General features: G+C 37.7%; 1 protein-coding gene across 56 annotated transcripts in view; it reads right to left on the reverse strand.

Moving 5' to 3' along the window:
- Positions 1–14,331, reverse strand: part of ZNF438 (zinc finger protein 438) — a 187,780-nt gene that overhangs the window by 18,129 nt on the left and 155,320 nt on the right. For 51 of the 56 annotated variants that reach the window (NR_170659.1, NR_170660.1, NR_026560.2 and 48 more), the window contains one exon: positions 14,238–14,305. Coding sequence is in view for 45 of the 56 variants with exons in the window: in XM_017015863.3 (XP_016871352.1) it covers positions 14,238–14,305 (68 nt within the window). In the remaining 11 variants the exon portion in view is untranslated. Of the gene's footprint in view, positions 1–12,570; positions 12,750–14,237; positions 14,306–14,331 lie in introns of all 56 variants that reach the window. The other 5 variants (XM_017015877.2, XM_047424750.1, XM_011519376.3 and 2 more) reach the window with 2 other exon arrangements.

A 14,331-nucleotide genomic window follows, 5' to 3' on the forward strand; every position in this document is an offset into this window, starting at 1 on the left:
ACATGCAAAAGGCTGGAAGTTTCTTGCCTTTGGTCAAAACACTATGATTATGAAACTAAAGTGGTAAAGATCACAATGTTTCAAAATGCAGGGAACCAAAATTACAAAGATATCGCTTTTATACTATAATTTCAAAAGTAAGTTCACTTTATCTAAAAGAGGTATTTTTGAGGAATGTGCAAACTACATTTTAAAAAATGAATTGTTTCACTGTTTTATAGTAGAGTTTTACAGATGCTTTATCTTCACTGCTGATTTATCTTTAACTCACAGTGATTTATAACATTTTTTTGCTGCACGTTTTTCTATACCTCAGCTTTTATGTCAAATAGTTCATGATTTGTAAGTACAAATGCACAAGGGTGGACAGCCACGGATCTTTAAGAAGTCAAGTATTCCCCTGTTATGCTGATAATTATTCCCTAACATTTCTGCTGGTAAGTCTTGACTGTTCCTTATTTCTTTAATGAAGACACACCTTTCCTTAACATAGAGAGACCATCTACAATACTGACACTTTGAAGAAAATAATAAAAAAGAACATGAAGTCCCAGGCACTGGTGGGTACTGAGGTGACTGGTTTGTGCTGGTCACCTTTGAGGAGCTGACCAGGTTAGTTGTCTATGAGTTAGCTGGCATCTACAGATCCTGTCGTGTGACTGATGCCATCAGATTCTGACCTGAGCCAGTACCAAGAGTGAAGGCGGCAGAGTTTGAAAGCTGTGGTGACTACTTTGGATTCCTTTGCCTTTGAATTCTGCCATCCTTCTTCTCCATCAATATGTTTATTGTCTTTTAGTGATGACTATGAAACCTGGGTTGAAGGGAATATCTATTCTCATCCACAGATGAAGAGTATGTCAGAGTTAACTTTCCCACCTCCCTGGAGATGGAGTGATGACACAGCCCACTGCTTCTCCTTGCCCCGAGGCTATGTGTGCCTGTGAGTGGTCTCCTTAGGTAGATCCTCCCATTCCAGAGCCGGCCTCCTGGCTGAGCATCCACACGCACTCCCCTCATATTGTAGGTTCGCCCCCTTGCTGTCTTCCTACAGAACCTTGCCTAGCTGGCCCCACCTTGTGCTCTCCACTTCCACCGCCTGTTATTTGGTGCTGGAGAAATCCAACCATTGTGAACGCTGGACAGTGTTCTAAGTTTAAAGTTTCTAGTTCAAAACCGATTCCACAGTCTATTTACTTGTCCCTAAGAGACTCTTGGCGGCCCACATTCCTTCCTCTGCTCTTCTGAGGCACTCTCCCTCTGTCCCACCCCTGCCCTATCCCCAGGGCCATCTCTCTCTTGCCAATGTTTTTTGACATTGACTTCGTGGAAAAAAGAGAGGCTATTATGTGGGAACTCATTCACTGTCCCTTTTATTTGTAAACTCCCTTTTTGTCTTTGATTATGCCACACAAATAAATTTATAAAAACCTTTTCTGTGATGGGGGAAAGGAGAAGTACTATAACTCTAAATATACAATGCTCAAATCCTGATATATTAAAATGTACAAAAAGGTGCATCTGAAAATAAGGAAATGGAGTATTCCCAACCCTGGTCTGGAGGCTACCCTTCCTTCCAGGCCCCTTGTGCCTCGGGGATACTGCACCATTGGTGAGCTCCCCAGCTCTCAGGGAGGCTGGCCTGTGACCATCCTGTCTAAAAGGAGCTGCTCAGCTCCATGTGATCACTTGCTATTTTCTTTTTCTGCTTCACTGTCCTTCGAGGTACTTACCTTCACGATGATATTACATTATCTGTCTCCTCGCTAAAATGTGAGCTCCAAAAGAGCAGGGGTTTGTTTTGTTACTGACAGGGTCTCAGTCTCCAGATCAGCAGCTAGCAGTTGTACAACATAATTTTTACTGAAGGAACGAACTATTAACTCTCAACCATATTGACATGGCTTCCTTCTGCTATGCTACTGCTGAACACAAAAACAGAAAAACAACAGCAACAAGAAAGAGTCGTTAGGCCCCATCTCCTTCCTTTTCTTCCTGAGACAATCTATGGTAGATGTGTACATATACACCGCCTCTACTCATCTATTTCTATTCTTCCCTCGAACCCCTAGAATCCTGAAGTTCTATTTTGAACAACTAAAATGCCCCTCAGTCAGAAGTTAGACTGAATGCTTAATCTACTATCTCAAGTCCTTCACCAATTCTTGGTATTAACACCTCCAGTCCATAGATGTGAAAACAACACTTCTTGCAAGATCACAAAGCAGGTATTGAGACTTGGATTTTAACCCAGGACTGTCTGGCACCAAAGCTGTTCTCCCTCCATTCCAACACGCTGAACTTAGAACTAAGTTGTTTAGCAATTTATCTGTTTACATGTCAGTCTCTTCCAGTGACCGGTGAGTGCCACATAATCCATCTCAATGTTGAGAAAAGAAAGATCTTTTTGAACAACCTTTTTCCAATCACAGTGCAACTGTTAGGAGAGAGAGAACATGTCTTTCTTCTAAGAGACATCTACAGCATGGTCACTGGAGAGGTAGTTAATGAACTCACACATAGCAATGCGCAATACCCTACAGCACTGTATCTATGGCCTTCTTTTAACAGAACTTCTGGTGACCAAATCAGGCTCACACCAGAATCTGACTTTTCTGAAGCAACAATTACACAATACATTTAATGACACTTTTAAGCAGCGACAAAGTAATTCTTCAATGAGTAAAAATGAAGAAAAAAAATGACAAAGGTCTTTTATAATTTTAAAAATAATATACATTTCTTAGATACTTCTTAATCTTACACCACCTTCTTCTAAAACTGATGACACTAAAGAACACTAGGACTGAAAGAAAAGTCTAAAATGCTAAAACAATTTCTAAATTCCTTATGTGGCAAGTCCTGCTCCTTTACTAAACTTGATAATATATCAGTGCTATGGTGTAATGATTTGGATCTGAGGAATTTTCTTTTTGCGGAAGGCTGGGGGAGGAGTTCCTCAGAGAAAACAAGACAAACTGCATTTCGTGTATGATAGAGAGTAGACGTCTGGCTTTGGTGTTTCTATTTATTATACTGCTGGAATGAATTTGAGCAAGATAATAATCCTTCGGCCTTCCTGGCCGTAGTTTCCTCTCTTTAGCAAGAGGGGATTAGATTAGATTAGTGTTTCTCAAAGTAGGGTTTGCAGAACCTCAGGAAGGGTCCCGAATACTCTTTTCATACTCATATCAAGATGTCATTTGCCTTGTGTCGACATTTGCACTTGTTGCGCTGATGGGGTAAAACTTCTCTAGCAACTTAGCCAAGTAAGGTAGTGCCCACAAACTGTTCAAGCAGTCATATTCTTCACTGTGGTACTCTCACAGTGGAACAACAAAAAAGCAGTACAAAATTTTAGTTTTATAAAATTTTGATCCTTGAGTACATGCCTTTTTAATATTCTGTGATGAAATCGTTCACAGTCAGAGTACATGTCTGCTGCATATGGAAATAGGACTGTTGTTCTGAGGACAAGCACTCAATTCAGCCGTAAAGCTGACCTGGCTACTTTTTTCATGGAATACAATTTTTACTTGAATAAAATGGCTGACAGACATATGCTGAAATATGTTGAATGAACATATTAAGACTTGGGTATCTGGCAGACATTTTCTCAAAAGTGAATGAATGGAACTTGGCATTACAAGAAAGAACTTCTAACAGTATTTGTTGCCAATGATAAAAGTCATTTTCTTTCAAGTGGCAATTGGAATTTTGGAAAATTTGAATTCACCACCAGGAACTTGAAGTTTCCCAGTAGTTACTTTTCAGGTAAAACTGGTGCTTATGGGTCAGGCGCGGTGGCTCACGCCTGTAATCCCAGCACTTTGGGAGGCCAAGGAAGGCAGATCACGAGGTCAGGAGATCGAGACCATCCTGGCTAACACGGTGAAACCCCTCCTCTACTAAAAATACAAAAAATTAGCCGAGCGTGGTGACAGGCACCTGTAGTCCCAGCTACTCGGGAGGCTGAGGCAGGAGAATGGCATGAACCTGGGAGGTGGAGCTTGCAGTGAGCCGAGATCGCGCCACTGCACTCCAGCCTGAGCGACAGAGCGAGACTCTGTCTCAAAAAAAAAAAACCAAAAACGAAAACTGGTGCTTACGTTAATGAATGATTTTTAAAATATCGCACAATGAAGTATATGGAAGATTTGCTTAACTCACTTAACTAGTGTTTTCTAAATGACCAGTTTAGTTTAACGTTACATGCGTGGATAAAAGAATCACTTAAGTATGAGACTCAAAATCTAATAGAATACAAAAGTACATGGACAGGGTTTCAAATTTCACAGTACAATTAAACTGAAAGAAGTTTCCATCTGACAAACTTTGGCATAGTATCAAAGAAAAATATCCATGATTATCTGAAAAGCCTACCAAAATATCCCCTTCCTTTCTGACTACTGGAAAGCTGGCTTTTAAAAAAATATGTCAACATATACAACATCACAACTGACTGAATGCAGGACTAGATATGAGACTCAAACTATCTTCAATGAAGCCAGAATTTAAAGATATTTGCAGAAAATGTAAATCAATGCCAGTCTTCTCATTATTTTTTTTGCTTTAGAAAAATATTTAGGTTGGTGCAAAAGTAATTGTGGTTTTTGTCATTAGTTTTATAGTATAGTCAATTTCGTTAAACTAGGTTATTTTTGTTAAGATGTAATGAGCTGTTATTTCAAAATGACATAAATATTTCAATATTTTTTATAATCACCCAATATGGTAAATATTGACAGATACAACCCATACAAGCAAATGCTCTTTAGAGTCCTCAATAATTTTTGAGAGTGTAAAGGGTCCTGAAGCTACAAAGTCTGAGAACAACTGAATTAGATGAAATCTAACTTCCTATGTCTTTTGAGATTCTATAATTGTGTGTGTTGATGAGTACGAGTGGGCAGGTTTGTGTGAATGAGAATAGAAAATCACATCTAGAAATGTTTTACTTTTTGTTGTTAGGTTTTATTCCCTTCACCTTTGTTTCCTTGAGAATATAACATGGCAGATCAATAGGAGAGAGTTTTGATAATAAAGTATTAAAAGGTAAGTCATCCTAACACAAATATTAATTATAATTAAAATATCACTAGCTGTCAACATTAGAATATGAACCAAATAAAATGCTTGACAAAAATCTTATATAATGTTTCAAAAACTTATCTTACTTAAATTTATATTTATGGAGTATAAGTTATATTCAAATGACATTTATATTTTTCCCCCAATTTTAAGAAATATCATCACAAGATACTCTTGGTAGTATATAATCTTTTCAAAAAACAGAGCAGTGTTTTTAAAGAATTTTTTTTTTTTTGAGACGGAGTTTCGCTTTTGTTGCCCAGGCTGGAGTGCAATGGCACGATCTCAACTCACTGCAACTTCCGTCTCCCCAGTTCAAGCAATTCTTTTGCCTCAGCCTCCCAAGTAGCTGGGATTACAGGTGCCCGCCACCCCACCCAGCTAATGTTTTGCATTTTTAGTAGAGATGGGGTTTCACTATGTTGGATAGGCTGGTTTTGAACTCCTGACCGCAGGTGATCCGCCCGCCTCAGCCTCCCAAAGTGCTGGGATTACAGGTGTGAACCACCGTGCCCGGCCTGAAGGATTTTTTTAAACAAAAAGTATTCAAAGTCATTTAAAATTATTTTATCCAAACAAAAGTAATCATAAGTTGCTCTTCCTAATTAATACAAGTTAGATGCTGGAATTCTATAAATGTTTTTAGGATTTTGTTGCCCATTAATTTAAAGACAAGAACAATATGTTTACTCTATTAAAAAGCATTACTAGATTTATGAATTTCTATTCCTATTGCTATTAGATTTTTAAAAACAGAAAATGCCTATCCTTTATTTTTGGCTTGCATAAAATCCTAAATACCCCTGTCAAACTACTTTGCTTTTATCCCTGCTCAAGCCATCACACTAACCATCTGCATAAATAAAGATGCAAGCATCTGCTATATTGCAAATGGTCTCAGGGGCAGATGTTTCCATCCTTGTGTTCATGTCACTGGGGCTGGATACATTATTTGAACAGATGTACACAATCTGGAAGTGTTGTGTCCCACAGTGAAATGTCTCCAACTGCTTTCTATCAAAGTACATAAATGCTATTTGCACCTGCATTTATGTTAATGATATAAAGGCAGCAGGGGTTCTGACAAAGTGAGATGTGATGCTATGAAATATATTTACATGGTTAATTGGAATTTCTGAGAGACTCTGCTGCCAAACGGCCACACTGACAATGATACATACCCAAGTAAATTATCCGATTACCAGCCTGTTTTTCAGGCAACAGAAATACAGCTATTTCGGCCGGCCACAGTGGCTCACGCCTGTAATCCCAGCACTTTGGGAGGCCAAGGCAGGCAGATCACCTGAGGTCAGGAGTTTGAGACCAGCCTGGCTAACACGGTGAAACCCTGTTTCTACTAAAAATACAAAAAATTAGCCAGGTGTGGTGGTGCGTGCCTGTGATCCCAGGTACTTGGGAGGCTGAGGCAGGAGAATCGCTTGAACCAGGGAGGCGGAGGTTGCAGTGAGCCAAGATCACACCATTGCACTCCAGCCTGGACAACAAGAGCTAAACTCCGTCTCAAAAACAAAACAAAAAAGAAAAGAAAAGAAAGAGGAAAGAAAGAAATACAGCTATTTTAAACAACAAAAATACTCATAATCTAAATTTACTAATATTTTAAACTCTAATATTTTATTTCAACTTCCATATATGGCTGGTCTACTTTATGGTTTTAGGCCACCCAGGTCATTTCCATTTATTCTAAAAGGATATTTCTACAGGCATGTGTGTGTTTTCCATTTGTTCTTCTGTCAACAGTATAACATACTAATAATGCACAATGGTATTTTGTAGAAGTTATTACATCAGAAAGTTCCAATTTCCAACATTAAGTAGTTAACCAAAACCAGCTTGCAAATGTCAATCTGTACTTGCTCTGCAGCATAAAATGGTACCAAAAGTCCAAGAACAGCATTTACACCACTTGTTAAGATCAAAATGTTTCCATATGAATATCACATATTTGGAAACATAATATTTTGGTAATACATAGGGAATGATATTTTCCCCCAATAGTGAGGTCATAAAGCAATGTTAAGCACTAAATGCAAAGCATCAAATTACAGTGGTACTCCTTGCTACTGTGTGTTCAATGTGAGGGCTGGAGAGTCACAGATCTTGCAATAGTAGTTTTCTTTGTAGCTTTACTGAACTAAGAATTTATGGTCACCTTCAAATAATATGTTACTTTATTAACTTGAAATTTATAATGCACAAAGTCATTTTATCTGAGAAAAACGTCATAAAAAATAGCTTTTATTCTGTAAATTATCCTGAGGCTTCTACTGTGCTTTCAAAGTTTTTACAAGGTGTATTCATATACAGTTGATTCTCATTATTTGTAGATTCTGTATTTGTGAATTTGCCTACTTGCTAAAATTTATTTTTAACCCCAAAATCAATACTTGTGGTGCTTTCACGGTCATTCATGGACATGTGTGGAGAAAAAAAAAGTTTGAGCCACTTGACACGCAAATTCCCAGGTTAGGCAGAACAAGGTGATGTCCTGCCTTCTTCTTTCAGCTCTCATACTGTAAACACGCATCCTTTTTACATTTCAAAAACTGTCACTTTTTTTTTTTTGCATTTTTTGTGCTTCTTTTTCTTGGTGATTTTACTGTTTACTTACGGTCTCCAGCATAGTGCTGGGTGCTGTCTAGTGCTCCTAACACAAGAGAACTGGGATGTGCTCTACGGAGAAAACACTTGTATTAGAGAAGCTTTGTTGGGGCATGAGTTATAGTGCTGTGTCTCTGAGTTCAATGTTAAAAAATTAACCCTGTCTATTAAATAAAGTATCTTTTAACAGAAATACACTTATAACAAGGTCATGTATCAGCTGTTGACAAAAATGTTGTGACTAGAGGCTCACAAGAACCTATCCTTGAATATCGCCTAGGAACAAATGGCTCAGTATTTGCTAATTCAGTGTTCCTAATAGCCTTCTAGAATATAAACACTACAAATAATGAGAATCAACCATACCTACTGCATTTGACTGTTACAGGATGAGAATTACTATCTCCATTGGAAAGATGAAGGGACTGAGGTTTACTTATTTGGCCAAGATCACAGAGCCTAAAAAGAAGCATGTAACAATGACCAGAGCTCAGCTGTCCAGATCAGTGTTCCTTCACCAGATGGAGAGGAAAGGGGAGATATGGCCAAGGAGGAAAAGAAAAAAATAGAGAGCTTAAGAAAATAGCTTTCATACCATGTTCGAAAGAGTGAAACTACGATTAGATAACAAGAATAAACCACTTTCAGGTTAAATCCCCATAAAAGGAAACCCCTGCTTGGATAGGCAGCCCAGTGTTATTAATTACAACAGCTGCAAGAGAGGAGCTTAGTTTGGTTTTATTTTCCCCCCTTTGCTTCTTTTGCTCATTGTCTCTTCAAAGGCAATAAATACTTGTTAAATGAACATTTGCTTTCATTGGCCTTAGAATTCCATCCACTTTGGTGTTTCATTAAAAAAAAAGATGACAATATTTTCACAGCAACAGGTGTGATTGATTTATAAAAACTGTTTGAGAGTTTAAAGCATTTTATACATAATTTAATATGCATTTTGAGAGCCTACTACATGCCAGGACGCTTTAAATCCTACTAAAGATAGAAAATTCATCAAGAACTTTATAAAAGACCTAATTGATACTAAGTCCAAAATAAGTAAGGTCTTTTCCTCAAACTTTAAGAATGATATGAGTATTAACTAGCTCCTCCCTAAGTATGCCTTACTTGAGTTCTAATATTCTTATTCACAAATACCAAAATGTTAGGTCTGTAAGCTGTAAGTATACACTTTTATGTCTGCAAGACATAGAATACATTTTTTAGACAGTATCATAACCATTTTTTATTGAATCAGAAAATCTAGGGGTTTTTAAAAAAGATTCAAATATGAATTCACATGATAGACAGTAATGGCTGTGGTTGTGCAGTCAAATCATGTAAAGATTTGGGAAATTAGTAGTAGCTGTACAGCACATGTCCAGCTAACTGCAGTGGGTCCAGAGGGGGCCGCCTGTGTGTCTGCGTCAAACCATTTGCTCTCTCCACCCCGACTTCTTACTTTTATGAAATAGAAATAACACTCACAATTTGAAAACTACCTTTAAATAACACAAATGTTATGACAGAGTTGAGAAAAGTGGTAGAAGAACTGTATAAGAAAACTTTTCTACTTGCAGAAGACTTGTCTAGGAAATGGCAAACTTAACTGTAAGGCTGACAAGTGACTAAGAATTGAGAGACTCGGCCAGGCACGGTGGCTCAGGCCTGTAATCCCAGCACCTTGGGAGGCTGAGGTGGGCGGATTACAAGGTACAAGTCAAGCAAGTGGAATTTAAGCCAGGGGGTTAAATTCAAGATCAGTCTGGCCAACATGGTAAAATCCCCTCTCTACTAAAAATACAAAAATTAGCCACGTGTGGTGGTGCGCTCCTGTAGTCCCAGCTATTCGGGAGGCTGAGGCAGAAGAATCACTTGAACCCGGGAGGTGGAGATTGCAGTGAGCCGAGATTGCACCACTGCACTCTAGCCTGGGTGACAGAACAAGACTCTGTCTCAAAAAAAAAAAAAAAAAAAAAAAAAAAAAAAAAAAAAAAAAGAGGTCAGGCGCAGTGGCTGACACCTGTAATCCCAGCACTTTGGGAGGCCGAGGCGGACAGATCACGAGGTCAGGAGATTGAGACCAACCTGGCTAACATGGTGAAACCCCGTCTTGACTAAAAATACAAAAAATTAGCCGGGGGTGGGGGCAGGCACCTGTAGTCCCAGCTACTTGGGAGGCTGAGGCAGGAGAATGGCATGAACCTGGGAGGCGGAGCTTGCAGTGAGCCAAGATCGCACCACTGCACTCCAGCCTGGGTGACAGAGTGAGACTCTGTCTCAAAAAAAAAAAAAAAAAAGAATTGACTCCAGTAAAACAGACTCTCACTTGACTTAAATGAAGATTCCTTCCTGACCAATGAACAATGAGACTTGCATTAACCAACTGTGTAGGAACTTAAAATTCATTCTGACTACCCAAGATACAAACTTCAATGGTCAATTGGCATAATCACAGTGAACTACTTCTTAGCACATAAGACACATACATTGTCCCTGTCAGAGAATCATTTGGTGATACTGCTCACCTGTATGAGTTTTCTTATATGGGAAGTAAATAAATTCACTTGCATTTTTAATCAGTGTGGTGACTTTGTCTTTCTTTCACCAAATCTAAATAGTTGGCCTTATTATGTTGTTTTCATGCCTCTTTTTTGAAAAACACAGTTTAGCTCATCATTTGAAAATAACAGACAAAAAAAGGAGGTTATGGAAAACTAAATTCTATCCCTAAATCCTGAAAGAATGATATAGAAAATTGTAACAAAATAAGTCTCATGAACATCTCAAAATTCTATAAATTATATTCTCACACAGAAAGGAATAACGGTGACACTAGTTTATAATAGAAAAATCTGTAATATAGTATAACTTATCGTTAGAGTGACAGTACAATGTTAAATCTCTTTATCTGAAATTAGATAACATTTAAATAGAAGAAACCAGAATTTCAAATTTGTTTTCTCCATTAATAATGCTGCCAGCTCTTCCTAGCTTTAAACCCCTGGCTTAAATTCCACTTGCTTGACTTGTACATATATGTTAATATCCTGAACAAATGTCATCTCCTCCATTTTGTTTCCTGACCAGCCTCAAAATCTCTGGCTTAGCCAACTGTCCTTTCATTCTGATTTTCAAAGTATGTCATACTCACTTCTAGTACAGCATTAGTCATGCTTTATTCTAATTAAGGACATGCACATATGCTGTTCCAACAGGATTTTAGAGCCTAAAAGCTCAGGCTCTGTATGATTTACCTTTGGATTCTTCATAGCATCTGATAGTTCCTCGTATGAATTACCTTGGTGATCATTAAACCTGCTTCTACCATATGAACTTTGTTTGGGGACAGTATGTTAGTACAGCATATTTTCCTTAATTTAAGCCTCACAACTCTGTTGGTGATGTCTTATCTGAATTTTATACAGAAATGCATATAATACGTGTGTATGTGTTTATAAGTTGGAAATTCAAAGGTATCATAATTTATAGCTAGCCATCAATGGTTTGTTAAATAAATCAATCTGCATTTAATTAATAAATAGCATGTGCCCAGCAAACTTCTCATGTCACACAAATTATGTACATGCAATTAAACAAATATATATGTAATATATTACGTGTGGGTGTGTGGGGGTGTGTGTGTGTATATATATATATATATATATATATATATATATATATATATATATATATTTAGAGACAAGGTCTTGTTCTGTTGTCCAGGCTGGAATGCCATGGCATGATCATAGCTCACTGCAGCCTCAAACTCCTATGCTCAAGCAATCCTCCTAGCTCAGCCTTCCAAGTAGCTGGGACTATAGGCATGAGCCATCACGCCTAGCTAATTTTGAAATTTTTTTGTAGAGATGGAGTCTTGCTATGTTGCCCAGGCTGGTCTCTAACTCCTGGCCTCAAGTTATCCTCCCACCTCAGCCTCCCAAAGTGCTGGGATTACAGGTGGGAGCTGCTGTACCTAGCCATAAATTATATTTGATCATAAACAGAATCATAATTAATACATCTGATGCTTTTGTTAAAAAATATTAATATTAATCTAAGACATACAGAAAGCATTTGAATGAATGAATGAGTAAATTAATGAATAACTGGGCAATTCATAGGACTTACATGTATTCACATATATTATTTTTCCTTATTGATGTAATTTTCCATAATTTAAGTTATAATTTCTGCTCACTTTGGTTTAAAATGGCTTTAAGCATTCATATGTGTAATTAAGCATAGTATGTTTGATGAGAGAAAAAGGAGATGATCAAAAATTATTAGAAATATTCTTTATAAATTGTAAATTCTTATAGAAATATCTTTATAAATTAAATATTCTTTATAAATATATATTCTCTATAATTTATATAAATATTCTTTATAAATTTTATGATAGATCTGAGTTCAAATCTTGGATCAGTCACTTACTGGTTGGTGGTCTTGGCAAAAAGTACCTAATCTTGAAGTTGTAAAATAAGGTTTACGTCTAACTTATTGTGAAGATTAAATAAAGGATGTAAAGTTGTAGGTAGAATGATTATCACAATGGAGGCACATGATTGAGGTTTTTTTAAGCTATTATATATCCTCTGTCAAATTCCAGGATTGGGCTTAAGCATCTTTAGTCCCAGAAAAGACTGGGTAAGGAGGTTTACTTGAGCTCTGGGTAGGGCCAAGGGGTCTTACTTTCCGGTCAATGGAAGTATCCAAGCTTATGTGATAGCCCAGAGAGGTAGGCATCAGAACAAAACAAACTGTGATGAGAAGCAAAGCAGCCAAGAGGTGTGAGTGCTTTCTCCCTCTGTATCAGCCAGAGCCAAGCAGCTTGTTGCTTAGTTACTCACATAGACTCACCTTTTTAGAGCCTGAAAGGAACACCTAGTCATTCTCGATTTTTCAATGAGAAAACTGAGGCTCAGGGGCAAAATAACTTTGCCTGGGGTTCCACAGCTGGTTGGAGGCAGGTATGGAATGGAGTCCAGCTTTCCTGATACTTGTTCCATTATTTTTTCTCCTAAGCTTCTCCTTGCTTGCTTGGATAAAAAAAGGTAATACCAGCTAGGACACTGAATTTCAAACCCTTCATCAGCTACCAAGTGCTGCACAAATCTTCCAGAGGATATATACCAGAGAACACTCAAGAAAAACACATGCTCTTTATTTCTAGTTGGGGTTTGCCCATCTCCTTTCTTGCCCTAGTGTTCCCGGCTGGATTTTGTGTGAGTCTCAAGGACTCTCACTCTCTCTTCGGATCAACTCCTGGGTAAGAATCAAACCAAGCGGTCTAATTCCTGCTTACTCCCCATGGGTCCCCTTGGAGCATGTTTGGCCTTCCAAGGCCATTAGGCATCCCAGGCAAGAGGCGGCCTCATGGCCATCTCACTGACCAGTCTCAAAGATGAGGATGTCCCAGATATTAATAATAGCCATTGAGAATGGTAGTTTTATCATCATATAAGTGCCTACTATGCAAACAACAATATGCTAGGTGATTTACATATGCTATTTCCTTTAGTCTCCACATATCCTATAGAGTGGAACTTATTATCTTCATTTTATAGATTTACAGATGTGGAAGCTGAGGTCAAGTGATACACCTAAAGTTTTACAGTTAAGTGGTAGGACTGAGTTTCAAATCCAGATTCCATGTGCTCAAGAGTTATGATACTACCTTTCTCACTGGTAGAGAGATCAAAGGGTGTTTGCTCTATTTAAGGGTCCTTCATAACAAATTCCCTCCTTTCACTAAAAGCTACATGTTCCACTAAGGCAACCTAATTTTGCCTCATTAAAGATATGTCTTTTTTCTCATACATGTCAGAACTTCTCTTCTGTGTGGAAGAGACTAGATGGGGCAGGGAAAGACTGGTATTTCTCCCCGGGGTTAGAGTGTACCCTTTATGGTGAGGGTAATTTAATTACTCTTGATGAAGAAAGGACTCTACCTCCATCTGGAGGTACAGGTTCTTCTGGAAGGTCCAGAAGTGCCTGTTAAAAAATCATTATTTTATTTTTTATACATTGCAAAAAGTAAAATAGTTTTTCTATTTCTTTTTAAATGGATATCAGGGGAAACAGGCAAAGAAATGTATACACAAATTCTATATCCTCTAAGTGTATGTCTACAGATGTGTGTGTGAATATATATGCATATATTCTTCTACTCACTAAAATACTTGTGTTATTTTGCTTCAATAAAGCCAACACTTTTTAATTTTACTGATATCTGTTAGTGCCAGTTAACTGCCAGTGAATAAGCAGGGCTCTGTGAGTTTTGGGTGGAATGAGATGGCTGGGCTCTCAAGGCGCTATAGCCTATAAAGGAGACAGGTCCTTAAAACTCAGGAATCCATATACACTCAAATTATTTACCAAAAGAAATGAGTTTTCATATATAATTATAATTTTTATTTTTAATTCTAGGAAATAAGTTACCTTATGATTAGAGGTCAATGACATTCAATGTATCAAATTAAAACTATAACAGACTCATCACCATTTTCCTCAGCAGTTTAACTTACCTTCATCTTTTGGTGGTACTGATACAGAATTCTGCATTATGATGTACTGGACTTGAATAGTATCTTTCCTAAAAATAAGCAAGCACAAATAAGT

Source organism: Homo sapiens, chromosome 10, assembly GCF_000001405.40.
Source record: "Homo sapiens chromosome 10, GRCh38.p14 Primary Assembly".
NCBI classification, from domain to species: Eukaryota; Metazoa; Chordata; class Mammalia; order Primates; family Hominidae; genus Homo; species Homo sapiens.